The sequence below is a fragment of the Homo sapiens genome, chromosome 4, assembly GCF_000001405.40.
Source record: "Homo sapiens chromosome 4, GRCh38.p14 Primary Assembly".
Classification (NCBI taxonomy): Eukaryota; Metazoa; Chordata; class Mammalia; order Primates; family Hominidae; genus Homo; species Homo sapiens.
This window is the reverse complement of record NC_000004.12, coordinates 67,946,323-67,958,839: the sequence shown is the minus strand read 5'-3', so window position 1 is coordinate 67,958,839 and position 12,517 is coordinate 67,946,323. Positions and strand designations below refer to the sequence as shown.

Genomic DNA, 12,517 nt, shown 5'->3' with positions numbered 1-12,517 from the left:
CATCAGATCCCTCCTACGACACATGGGAATTGTGAGAGCTACAGTTCAAGATGAGATTTGGGTGGGGACACAGCCAAACCATATCATTTTGCCCCTGGCCCCACCCAAATCTCATGTACTCACATTTTAAAACGAATCATGCCTTCCCAACAGTCATCCAAAGTCTTAACTCATTTCAGCACTAACTCTAAAGTCCACAGTCTCATCTGAGACAAGGCAGGTCCCTTCTGCCTATGAGCCTGTAAAATCAAAAGTAAGTTAGTTACTTCCTAGATACAACAGAGGGACAGGCACTGGATAAATAGACCCATTCCAAATCAGAGAAATTGGCCAAAATGAAGGGGCCAAAGGCCCCATACAAGTCTGAAATCCATCAGAGCAGTCAAATCTTAAAGCTCCAAAATGATCTCCTTTGGGTCCTTGTCTCACATGCAGGTCACACTGATGCAAAAGGTGGGTTCCCATGGCCTTGGGCAGCTCCAACCCTGTGGCTTTGCAGGGTATAGCCTCCCTCCCAGCTGCTTTCACAGGCTGGCATTGAGTGTCTATGGCTTTTCCAGGTGCATGGTGAAAGCTGTCGGTGAATCTACCATTCTGGGGTCTGGAGGACGGTGGTTCTCTTCTTACAGCTCCATTAGGCAGCACCCCAGTAGGGACTTTGTGTGGAGGCTCTGACTTGATAGTTCACTTCTGCACTTCCCTAGCAGAGGTTCTCCATGAGTGCACTGCTCTTGTACCAAACTTCTTCCTGGACTTCTAGGCATTTCCATACATCCTCTGAAATCTAGGTGGAGGTTGCCAAACCTCAATTCTTGACTTCTGTGTACCTGCAGGCTCAACCCCACATGGAAGCTGCTAAGGCTTGGGGCTTGCATCTTCTGAAGCCATGACCCAAGCTGTAGCTTGGCCTCTTTTAGTCACAGCTGGAGCAACTGGGACACAAGGCAACAAGTCCCTAGACTGCACACAGCAGAGGGACCCTGGACCTGGCCCATGAAACTATTTTTTCCTCCTAGGTCTCCAGGCCTGTGATGGGAGGAGCTGCCTTGAAGACCTCTGACATGCCCTGGAGACATTTTCCCATTGTCTTGGTGATTAACATTCAGCTCCTCATTACTTATGCAAATTTCTGCAGCCGGCTTGAATTTCTCCTCAGAAAATGGGATTTTCTGTTTTATCGCATTGTCAGGATGCAAATTTTCTGAACTTTTATGCTCTGTCTTCCTTATAAAACTGAATGCCTTAATAGCACCCAAGTAACCTTTTGGATGCTTTGCTGCTTAGAAATTTCTTTCTCCAGATACCCTAAATCATCTCTCTCAAGTTCAAAGTTCCACAAATCTCTAGGGTAGGGCAAAATGCCAACAGCCTCTTTGCTAAAACATAACAAGCGTCACTTTTGCTCTGGTTCCCAACAAGTTCCTTATCTCCATCTGAGACAATCTCAGCCTGGATTTCATGTCTAGATCACTATCAGGTTTTTGGTCAAAGCCATTTAACAAGTCTCTAGGGAGTTCCAAACTTTCCCAAATTTTCCTATCTTCTTCTCAGCCCTCCAAACTGTTCCAACCTCTGCATATTACCCAGTTCCAAAGTTGCTTCTACATGTTCAGGTATCTTTTCAGTGGCACCCCACTCTATTGGTACCAATTTACTGTATTAGTCCGTTTTCACACTGCTGATAAAGACATACCTGAGACTGGGCAATTTACAAAAGAAAGAGGTCTAATGGACTCACAGTTCCATGTGGCTGGGGAGGCCTCAAATCATGGCAGAAGATGAAAGGCATGTCTTACATAGTGGCAGACAAGAGAAGAGAGCTTGTGCAGGGAAACTCCCCCTCATAAAACCATCAGATCTCATGAGACTTATCCATTGTCATGAGAATAGCATGGGAAAGACCCACCTCCATGATTCAATTACCTCCCATTGGGTCTCTCCCACAACACAACATATGGGAATTGTGGGAGGTACAATTCAAGCTAAGATATGGGTGGGGACAGAGCCAAACTGTATCACTGCCATATAAGGAATAATAGTTGATAGATAAAAGAGAGAGGATGACAGAAATGTGTATAAAGTACTTGGAAGCCTAGTTTGTAAGAATTTATGATCAGATAAGCATATGATTCCACAGTGGGTGATGATTCATTTGTAGTGCATCAACAGCTACCATTTATTATACACTTACTAAATTTGAATCATTTCGTGCAAATTATCTCATTTATTTCTTACAATCTTCATATGAGTTAGTCCCTGTCCCTGCCCTATTTTATAGGGGGAAAATGTTGCCTCAGATCACAGAGTTACTGGACATTAAACTGAAGCTATCCATATCTCCTTATTCCCAACAGATTCATAGATATGTTTCTGAAATATCTCTGGCAATGACAAGAAATTGACCCACTGGAGATATGAAAGTAATATAAGCAAGATCTGAATATACACTATTAAAGGCTTTTTTACATCATTATCAAGGTGATCTGTTTACAAACAGAACAGATGGCTTTGAAGTCAGACAGATAAGTCCTTCCCTTATCTTAGCTCTGCCACTTGTGTTGCTTTTCCTCTCTGAACCCAAGTTTCCTCATTAGTAAATTGTTAATAATAAAGCCTACCACATCAAGCTGTAGCAACAATTACACGAGATCACCTATATGACACCTCCTGACCTAGAGTAGGACTTATGCTAGAGTCCCTCATTTGCTTATTTCATGGCTTTACATCTCTAGGTAGTATTTATTATCACCAATTTACAGGGAAGAAAACTGAAAACTAGAGAGGTTTTATAAACTTCTCAAGATACATGTTAGAGTCATAAGCAAGGACTGACACCAAAGTCTACTGACCCTAAAAGGCAGTTCCATATCTGCAATACCAAGATGCCTATAGAAGACCTCTTTTTTAAAATCTTAAACTCTCATTTTTGTTAACTTAATGGAAATTTGTTATTTGCATTATTTTAAATATTTACAGAAAATAAGTTTACAATGCTTCATGAGTTTCAATGTCATAGCACAGCTTGAGAAAAAAGTACTAAAGATTGTACCATGAATTGCATGAGGGTAGAGAAACCATGTCTTACTCATCCCTTCCTCCCTAAGCCAAACACAGCACCTAAGATATAGTAGAGGCCCACTAAAACATTGTGGGAAACAAAAATTCGTGGATGAGTGGATGGATGGATGGATACATGGACAGTTAAATGGATCCTGAGACAGACAAAAGAAAGGACAAAGAAGAAATCATAAATATTGTAATGGCTGGTAAATTCATAGAAGTAGTTTGTGAAGGCATATTTATGTTGTACAGGACCCTGACACAGGCATTTGAATACAAACAATTCCTTTTGCATGCAGGCATATCATTTCAGCATGAGCCTAAACCTCCAACCTGATACCATATCGTACAAACTTTAATAGGTGATACTGTACCTAGTGCCAAAACATGTTAAAGCTAAGTGTGCGTACACACACGTGCAAACATAAACACACACGAATACTGCATAATGTTAAGCACTACCTACCATTTCTAGAAAAGTAGAACATTTTATAATAAGTTTTACTTTGTGGCTCAACCCTTTATTCCATTTTTAATATTGTACTAATTAAACAGCATCTTCCTTTTATTATGTCATTCTAAGCCACACTGGAGTATACTTTGTGTTGGTTAATGTTGCATTAATAATGTTCTGGTACTTCCTGACACCTTACCTATCTAAACTCCCTCCTATGGGGCAACTCCAAGATGATCTTAAAATCTAAAGTGCTACTGTCATCAAAATTACATACAAAATGTATCCTCACACTAAAATGCTCATTTTCTCAGCATGGCTGATTTCTATCAAGTCTGTAATAATAATAACAATAAAAAGAATGATAACATCTCACATTTATATATTATTTACTCTATGTAGGTTACATTTAATATGTATTCATGCATTTAATCTTCATACAAATCCTATGAGATAGGTATCAATTTTATTTGCATTTTACAAATGGAAGAACTAAGACACAAAAGGGCCAAATGCTTTGCCTCACATTGCAAAGCTACCAAGTGGCCAACTCGGACTTGAACTCAAGCAGTCTGGCTCCAGATTTTGGCTCTTATTGTTAATGCTATACCACTCCCAATTAGAAGTCCGTTCACTCATGTCACATTAATTTAAACTAATATGTGACTATGCTCTATCATTAATTCAAAGTCTAAGTTCAATGCTATTTAAGAAAGCCTCTGCAGCTATAAGCTAGGATGATAAAACTCCATATTTTGCTAATATCTCAAGGTGAGAGGGAGTTAAATGCCAGTCATAGCTCAGGATACAGCTAGAGAGGGACCTTTAACTGAGTGAGGGCAGGGGGATCTAGAAGGGATAAGAACTGAAATTAATTTCACTGATTAGGGTCAGATGGATGCTAGAGGAAAGACAGGGCTACAAGAATTTGGAGTAACTCCAGCCTGGCAGGCCAGATGTGATCAACAGTGAGTATCTGTGGGCTTGTCCTGAAGTGGCAGGGGATTGAAGTATCCCTCCATGGGGATGAAGTACATCCATGGGGAACCCAGGAAAGGTGCTCTCAGTCCCCTTCAGCCTCAATCTCCTGAGTTATGCTTTAATTTTTCCCTTTTTCTGTTTCATTTTGGTTAGTTTGCTTAATTTCTGTCCCTGGGACCAGGATGAAGGCATTTTTCTAGATAGGTGAGGAAATGAAGTATTTTCTTTTCTTGGTTCCTAACTTTCCTTCCCTGAGTTCCTTGAACTCAGCTCAGCCTGAGTCTCTTCATCATTTTCCACAGAGAATTGCCTTTGGTCTGGATTCACAGTGGTATTTTATTTAATGCTGCAATTCCCTCTTTGCTCCACCTCACCCCTACTCATATCTGGGAGTTAGAGGCAGAAGGAATAGAAAATGTTTTCTTTGTTTCTTCCTCTTGTGTTGACCTATCTGACCACGAGATATCCCATGAGAATACATCTAGAGCCACCTTTTCAAAACTGTTCTGTGGAACAGAAGGATCCCAAGAAATACTATTTTTTTTTTTTGAGATGGAGTTTCAGTCTTGTTGCCCAGGCTGGAGTGCAATGGTATCTTGGCTCACTGCAAACTCTGCCTCCTGGGTCCAAGCAATTCTCCTGCCTCAGCCTCCCCAGTAGCTGGGATTACAGGCATGTGCCACCACACTCAGCTAATTTTGTATTTTTAGTAGAGACGGGGTTTCTCCATGTTGGTTAGGCTGGTCTCGAACTCCCAACCTCACATGATCTGCCCACCTCTACCTCCGAAAGTGTTGGGATTACAGGCGTGAGCCACCACACCTGGCCCCAAGAAATAATTTTTTACCACCATCCCAGTAGAGATGGGAGTAAAAAAGTACATTTGGAAAACTTTTACTTCAATCTAATTCAACAAGTAGTTTTCAAGTCTGTAAGAGCTAGGTGGTGTATTAGGCCCTGGGGTTGTATTAGTTATCAGATATATTAAAAAAAACTAAGAAAAGCTGCTCATCTTTAATCTCATTTGAAACCATTAAAGGCACTAAGACTTGCATAAGTGAGGATTCTATTTAACTTCATTTAAACCAGGGATCCCCAAGTCCCGGGCTGCAGATCAGTACCTGTCCATGGCCTGTTAGGAACTAGGCAGCACAGCAGGAGGTGAGCAGTAGGCAAGTGAGCATTACCACCCAAGCTCTCCCTCCTGTTAGATCAGCAGAGGCATTAGCTTCCCATAGAGGCATGAACCCTATTGTAAACTGCACATGCGAGGGACCCAGGTTACATGCTCCTTATGAGAATCTAATGCCTGATGATCTGAGGTGGAACAATTTCATTACCAAACCACCCCCCCTACCCCTGTCCATGGAAAACTTGTCTTCCACAAAACCAGTCCCTGGTGCCAAAAAGGTTGGGGCTGCTGATTTAAACCATTTTTTCCAAATCTATCTGAATGTGTGAAACCTCTCCTCCCTCCACTACTTGGAAACACTATTTGAGAAATGCCCCAATGCTGTGTATGATTTATTCACCATCTTCAGGATCTTGCACACTTAGGGGGAAGAAGATATGTGTACACATAACATATCAAGAATTAAAACATATAGAGAATATTTGGAAGCATAGAAAAAAGCATCAAATTAAATAAAAGCCTTTGAAGTTTACAAACAACCTCAAATATGGTCACTGATTTTTCCATACACACTTATCTCACAGGCCTCCTTTCAATGACATTACTTTGGCCACCATTATGGGAACCTCTGTGGGGATGGGGAGGAAAGGAATTCTAACCTTTTCAAAGTATGTAAGAATTTAAAGCCAGTGGAAAGGGAGGAGATATGAAAGCAAAATCAAATTTGAAACATAATCACAATGAAGATTTGGTGGAGCTTCATATCAGTAAAACCACCTCTACACTGATTCTATAAATCCTTTCACTTACCTTTTATGCTACTTGAAGTTCCACAATTATTCATTTGGGTTAAAAGGAAGCCTATTCTGAAGAAGGAAAAAGAATCTTTCTCAAGGGCAGTTTGACATAACAGAGAAAACAGGCTTCTAAGTCATAGCAGCCACACAGTAGGTTCTAACTCTGCGTACTGGCTGCATGAATTGAGCAAGTTATTGCTCTCTCAGAGCAAGTTATTCACCTATAAAATGATGACAAATAATTCTGCTGACAGCAGTGTTTGGAGAATAAAATGGGAAAATATATCAACAATCCCTACAAAGTCAGCACTTCCTAAATAGCAGTTCTATATTCTATCATTTCAGGTATTAAATGGTCATTCTAAAAGAGTCATAGCATACCCAGACAGATATCCACATATCAGAGTATATTAAGTCACCACAGAAGGTTGCTTTCCTTGTAGAAAATGACTAAGTTCAGTCCCTCAAAAAGAACCACAATTTCCTTTAGTAAAAGGAGAGTTATCACTTTGCTTCTATAAGAACTTTCTTTCAGAAATAGGTCCTAGGCTAGGAAAAGGGAAGCAAAGCTTTCTAGGTGAAATGGCTCCATGGAATTTAGTACCTTAGCACCTTTGTTCAGTTACATTAGGAGTTAAGTAGACTTGTAGTTTGGCCTGGAAAGCTGACCAATAATCCCTTTTAAAATCAGATAGTGTATTTTGGACTTCTTTATGAAGACTTGTGAAAAAATATCCTGTCTGTAAATTGGCATTTGTGTAATAGTCACATGCATCTACATTTATACACTGTTAATATATATGTACAAGAAAGCAAAAAAAAAAAAATATCCCCCCAAAAGAAGAGACTTGGAGCTTAGAGATAAAATGACAAAAGCATGTGGTTGATCTTGGAGTGGCCAAAGTGGCTGCCTTCAGGGAAGGCTTTTCTAGGAAAAGTAAGATCCTTGGGAAGTAAAGGGTTTACAATCTCTTTGTCTTGACTCCAGTCATCTTTGAACTCACATACACAGAAGTTGCCAACTTAGAACTTTGTTACTGAGAAACTGCAATTCTCAGCTCTGATCATTAACAATCCATACTGCTTTATATATTCTTCAATGAATGTGTCTTTCAGTCTACAAGACTGCAGAAAGCAAAGTCATGAAATTATTCAAATTATTACCATGTTTTCATTGACAGCATCTTTAGAAAAAACCTGGCATGACTACATCTTTCTAAATCCCAAATAATCAAACTGAATGAAGGTCTAATGGATTTGGATTGGTCTAATTGGATTTCATGGAAATTATAGGTTGTGTTACTCTGAGTAAGGATAATGTGTTACTGTGAATAAGGATCATCTGTACTCTGGGGACTCACATCCTTTGGGGCTGTCTGTGCCACAGGGGTCTGCCCCATCTCTTGTTTGGCCAGGTGACAGCCAAAGGTGATGCCTGCCTTGGCCTTGGCCCACCAAGGCTCTTCCACCTCACCAGGGGCTCTTTCTTGGCCACCTTTACATCCCCAAAGACTGCAGAGTGCCAAGTAGTCATAATCAGGGATTACTTTTAGCTTTCTTCCTATTTTAATTTTTAAGCACTTACTTTGTATTTCCAAAATTACTACTTCAGTAAAATATCCCTTAGTTATTTTTAATTCTATGCTTACCATAAAATTCCCTTCTCATCGAATAGTTCTCCCTCAAAAATAAAAGAATATTTAAATCTCACATGCTTTCTTTGAAGGCTGTAGATTTCTGTTCATTTTCCTGAAAGGCATATTTTCAGTTATGGTAGGCAGAATTCTAAGAGGGCCCCCAAGATTCCCCCCTCCGGTGTACATAGACTTTATCCCAATTATTCAGTCAAACTCTAATCTAGGTGCTGCTGTGAGGAAATTTTGCAGATGTAATAAAGTTCCCGAATCAATTGGCTTGAAGATGGGAGAGTATCCCTGATGGGCCTACCCTAATCGGATGACATTTTTAAAGAGCCTGGGCTTCCCCAATAGAGAGATTCAAAGTGTGAGAGAGATTTGATGTGAGGGAAATTCTCCACTGCTGGCTTTGAAGAAGGAGATGGCCAAGTGGCAAGTAATGGATGGCATCTGGGAGCTGAGAGAGGCCTCTGACTCACAGCCAGCAAGAGAACAGAGACCTCAGTTCAGCTTCAAGGAACTGAGTTCTGCCTAATACCTAAATGAGCTTGGAAGAGGATCACAAATTTCAGATGAGAAAGCAGGCCCAATCAAAGCCTTGATTTCAGCCATGTGAGATCCTGAGCAGAAAGCCCATCCATGCCACATACAGAGCTGTGAGCTAATAAATAGGTGTTGCTTTGATCTGCTAAATTTGTGGTAATTTGTTACAAAACAATAGAAAATTAATACACCTGTGTTTGTTTTATCAGCACAAGCAAAGCACAAAAAAATGCAGGAGCAAAATGGTGCATCTTTAATTTCAAAAAGGTTAGATCCCAAAAGGATTTACCAAGTGTATTTCTTTTTCAAATATGAAGTAATATTACACAAATGACTAATATGGCCTCTGCAGAATGAGAAGGTGATGATACTTTTTTTTGAGATGGAGTCTCCCAGTCGCCCAGGCTGGAGTGCAGTGGCGCCATTTCAGCTCACTGCAACCTCCATCTCCCGGGTTCAAGCAATTCTGGTGCCTCAGTCTCCCGAGTAGCTGGAATTACAGGTGTACACCACCACACCCAATTAATTTTTGCATTTTTAGTAGAGACAAGGTTTTACCATGTTGGTCAGGAGGGTCTTGAACTTCTGACTTCAAGTGACCTGCCCACTTCAGCCTCCTAAAGTGCTGGGATTACAAGAGTGAGCCACCATGCCCGGTGGTGATACATTTTTGTTTTTACGTATTCCTTGTTTATATTCATAAAAGTAGGCAGTAAGTTGAAGATTTATTCATATAGGATTTAGTAGCTGCAGCTTTAACCTATGGCTTCTGTAGCTTTTGTAATCTGGCAGTGCGCATCTGCTATATTATCTAAATGTTTCCTCAAAAGGAGAAACACTCTAACAACTTATCACCCTAGTCTGCTGGCCACCATTTTCCCTCAGATGCTCACAGCTTCTTCCGTGGGATTTGAAGATATGACTTCCATGACACTTGATCAGTATGTCAATGGGTATTGAACCACTCTTCAGCTCTGATCCCACGGTTCAGTTCCTTTCAGTGTGACTATGTGTCTTGGTGGTGGGAGATGTGATTCTTTTATCTACTTTCTCCATTTATCTTACTCAGAGGAACTGTGCTCTAATAGGGAAATAGATTGAAAGCTTATAAATTTCCTTGAGTTTTAACTTTTCTCCTTTGGTCTTTTTTTCTTTTCAAATGACTTGAAGACACATTGATAAGATTCTATGAGAAAATGAAGAGTTGAACAAATTGAATATGTATGAGTGAATGAATAGATTAATACATAAATGATAAATTTATTAAATAATTTGAACGAAATCAATCGAGAGGGGCACCGAGAATAAATTTGTGTCCTAGAAGTAAGAAGACCTGAGTTTGAGATAACTAGTAGTTCTATTATACTGGAGAAATTACTTAATCATCACTGGACTTCATTTTTCTCATATGGAAAGTAATTCAATCACACTAAACAATCTTTAAGGTCTCCTTCACTTATAAATGTATGTTTTAAGCCATTTAGGAGGTTAAATAATGTCATGTCCCATGGGACTTCTGTTTGTTGTTCTATTCAAGCATGTTAGCTTGTTTCTATCACAGGACCTGCTGCCTTTCCGCAGCCAGTTCTCTAGATTATTTTTAATCAGTCGGTGCACATATGGTCAATATTTACTCAATAGAATTCAGGTTTCCCAAATTCCATGAGGATTCTTGATTAATTTTATTACTTATGCCAAAACTATTATCTTCTTAACTATTTTAGGTCCAAACAGTTTTAACTTTTATCCTGGCATTTATATATAAAAAACTTTTGTAAGACCGGGTGCAGTGGCTCATGCCTGTAATCCCAGCACTTTGGGAGGCCGAGGTGGGTGGATCACCAGGTCAGGAGATGGAGACCATCCTGGCTAACACCATGAAACCCTGTTTCTACTAAAAATACAAAAAATTAGCCGGGCGTGGTGGTGGACGCCTTTAGTCCCAGCTATTCAGGAGGCTGAGGCAGGAGAATGGCGTGAACCTGGGAGGCAGAGCTTGCAGTGAGCAGAGATCACACCACTGCACTCCAGCCTGGCAGCCTGGATGACACAGTGAGACTCCGTCTCAAAAAAAAAAAAAAAAAAAAAGAAAAAAACTGTTTTATAGTCAAAAGAAAAACTTTCTATAAATCAACCAATCCTGTGAAGAAAATATGAAAAATATCCTCTGTTTCCAAAAAAATTTAGGCTATCAATATATACACATAAAGAGATAAACTCTGATAAATTGGATAAATAAAATTCACTATAATAGCAAGTTTTAGAGAACAAGCACGGGAGTTAGTCGACCTGGGCCCTTAAACAGATATCCTCTCTCTCATCCTGTGTTATTTCCTGTGTAATGTTGGTATCATTCCTGCCTGACTCTCATAGATTTATATGATTCCTACTCTGTCCAGGTGCCTTATTGGGTCTTAGCGGTAAAAAGATGAACAAGGCTAATGCAGCCCATTGAGAAGCTATCTGTAAGTGAACATACATGCAAACTAATACTTGATTCAATGTGAGAAGCACTGTTGCTGATCATAGGTGCCAGAAGAACAGCAAAGAGTTATTTTTTCCTCCAAAATTGTGGAAAAATTTTTATCCCTGGTGTGATGCAATATAAAATACACAGCACCACCTTTGAAGTATTCTTGCCAAATGAATTTAACCAAAATCTAATCAAGACTTCAGAGCTAAAGAAAATCTAAAAGTAATCCAATTTATAGGAAATGAGGGATATAAAAGAACAAGTTAAATAATACCACAGGAAAGCATTCAGACAAGTCCAGAAAGTAAGATATTCTAAAGGATGTTTAGCTTGATCTCTTCAATGGTCAATGTCATTAAAAACTAAAAAAGAAGCAGGACTCTTTTAGATTAAAAGAGATTAAAAAGGCATAACAAACAAGTGCACTGCATGGTCCTCGATTATGTCTTGGCTTTTACAAATCATGTGTAATTATAATGAAACCATGGAGGGAACTTGAAGATGGACTGGGTATTAGATGATATGGCAGAAATATCATTAATTTTTTAGGAGTGTTAAGAGTATCATGGTTATGTTGGATATATCCTAATTGTCTATAATAATGATTTGGTAAAAAGTCACGATGTTTTATTTCACATTAAAATATAGCAGCAGAAAAAATAAATGAGCCAAATACAGTAAAATTTTCAACAATTGATATAATAATGTGATATATATATGGATGTTCAATTATACTATTCTTAGTAATTTTTTATGTCTGAACATTTTCATAATACTTAAAAATAAAAGACAAAAGATAAAAATAAATGAGATAATAGATTTAAAATCACTTTGTAAACTCTAAAAGGATAGACAGATAAAAGAGATAACAAAGTGCTGGAGAAAGGAGGAATGGTCCCTTTTCAAGCATGTATGCCACCTTGGACCATGCTGCTAAGAGAAACCATTCCTGACCACCACAAAGAGGCCACCAAATGCCTCTAAAATAGAAAGCAGGAGCAACATTAGGATTCCCAGATCCTGATTTTTTTTTTTTAACACATCTTCTCAGACCAAGATGACATTGAACAAAATTAAAGACCTTTTTGCAGGGAAAGGTAGGCTACAGCAACTTGAACTTGTCTAAGGAGAGCTGGAAAACCTGCAAGCATTGCTATCTGAGAGTAACCAGTGGGCCCTTCCTTTTCTCAGGACAGTGGGATTTGGCACCCGAAGCAGAAATCTGAAGCCATGGATGATTGCCGTTCTCATTGTGTTGTCCCTGACAGTGGTGGCAGTGACCATAGGTCTCCTGGTTCACTTCCTAGTATTTGGTAGGTAAAATTAAAGATTTCACTCTATTTGATTTTATTTTTCTGCAAAGCTCCATTTACATATATGTAAATGTAACTTCATCTAAAAAATTGCACATTTACCTTCAAATTTCCACAGAGTATATTT

General features: G+C 39.2%; 1 protein-coding gene across 2 annotated transcripts in view; it reads left to right on the top strand.

Moving 5' to 3' along the window:
• Window positions 1–12,517, top strand: part of TMPRSS11A (transmembrane serine protease 11A) — a 54,099-nt gene that overhangs the window by 4,654 nt on the left and 36,928 nt on the right. For both annotated transcript variants that reach the window (NM_001114387.2, NM_182606.4), the window contains exon 2: window positions 12,269–12,390. In NM_001114387.2, coding sequence (NP_001107859.1) covers window positions 12,269–12,390 — 122 coding nt within the window. The remainder of the gene's footprint in view (window positions 1–12,268; window positions 12,391–12,517) is intronic.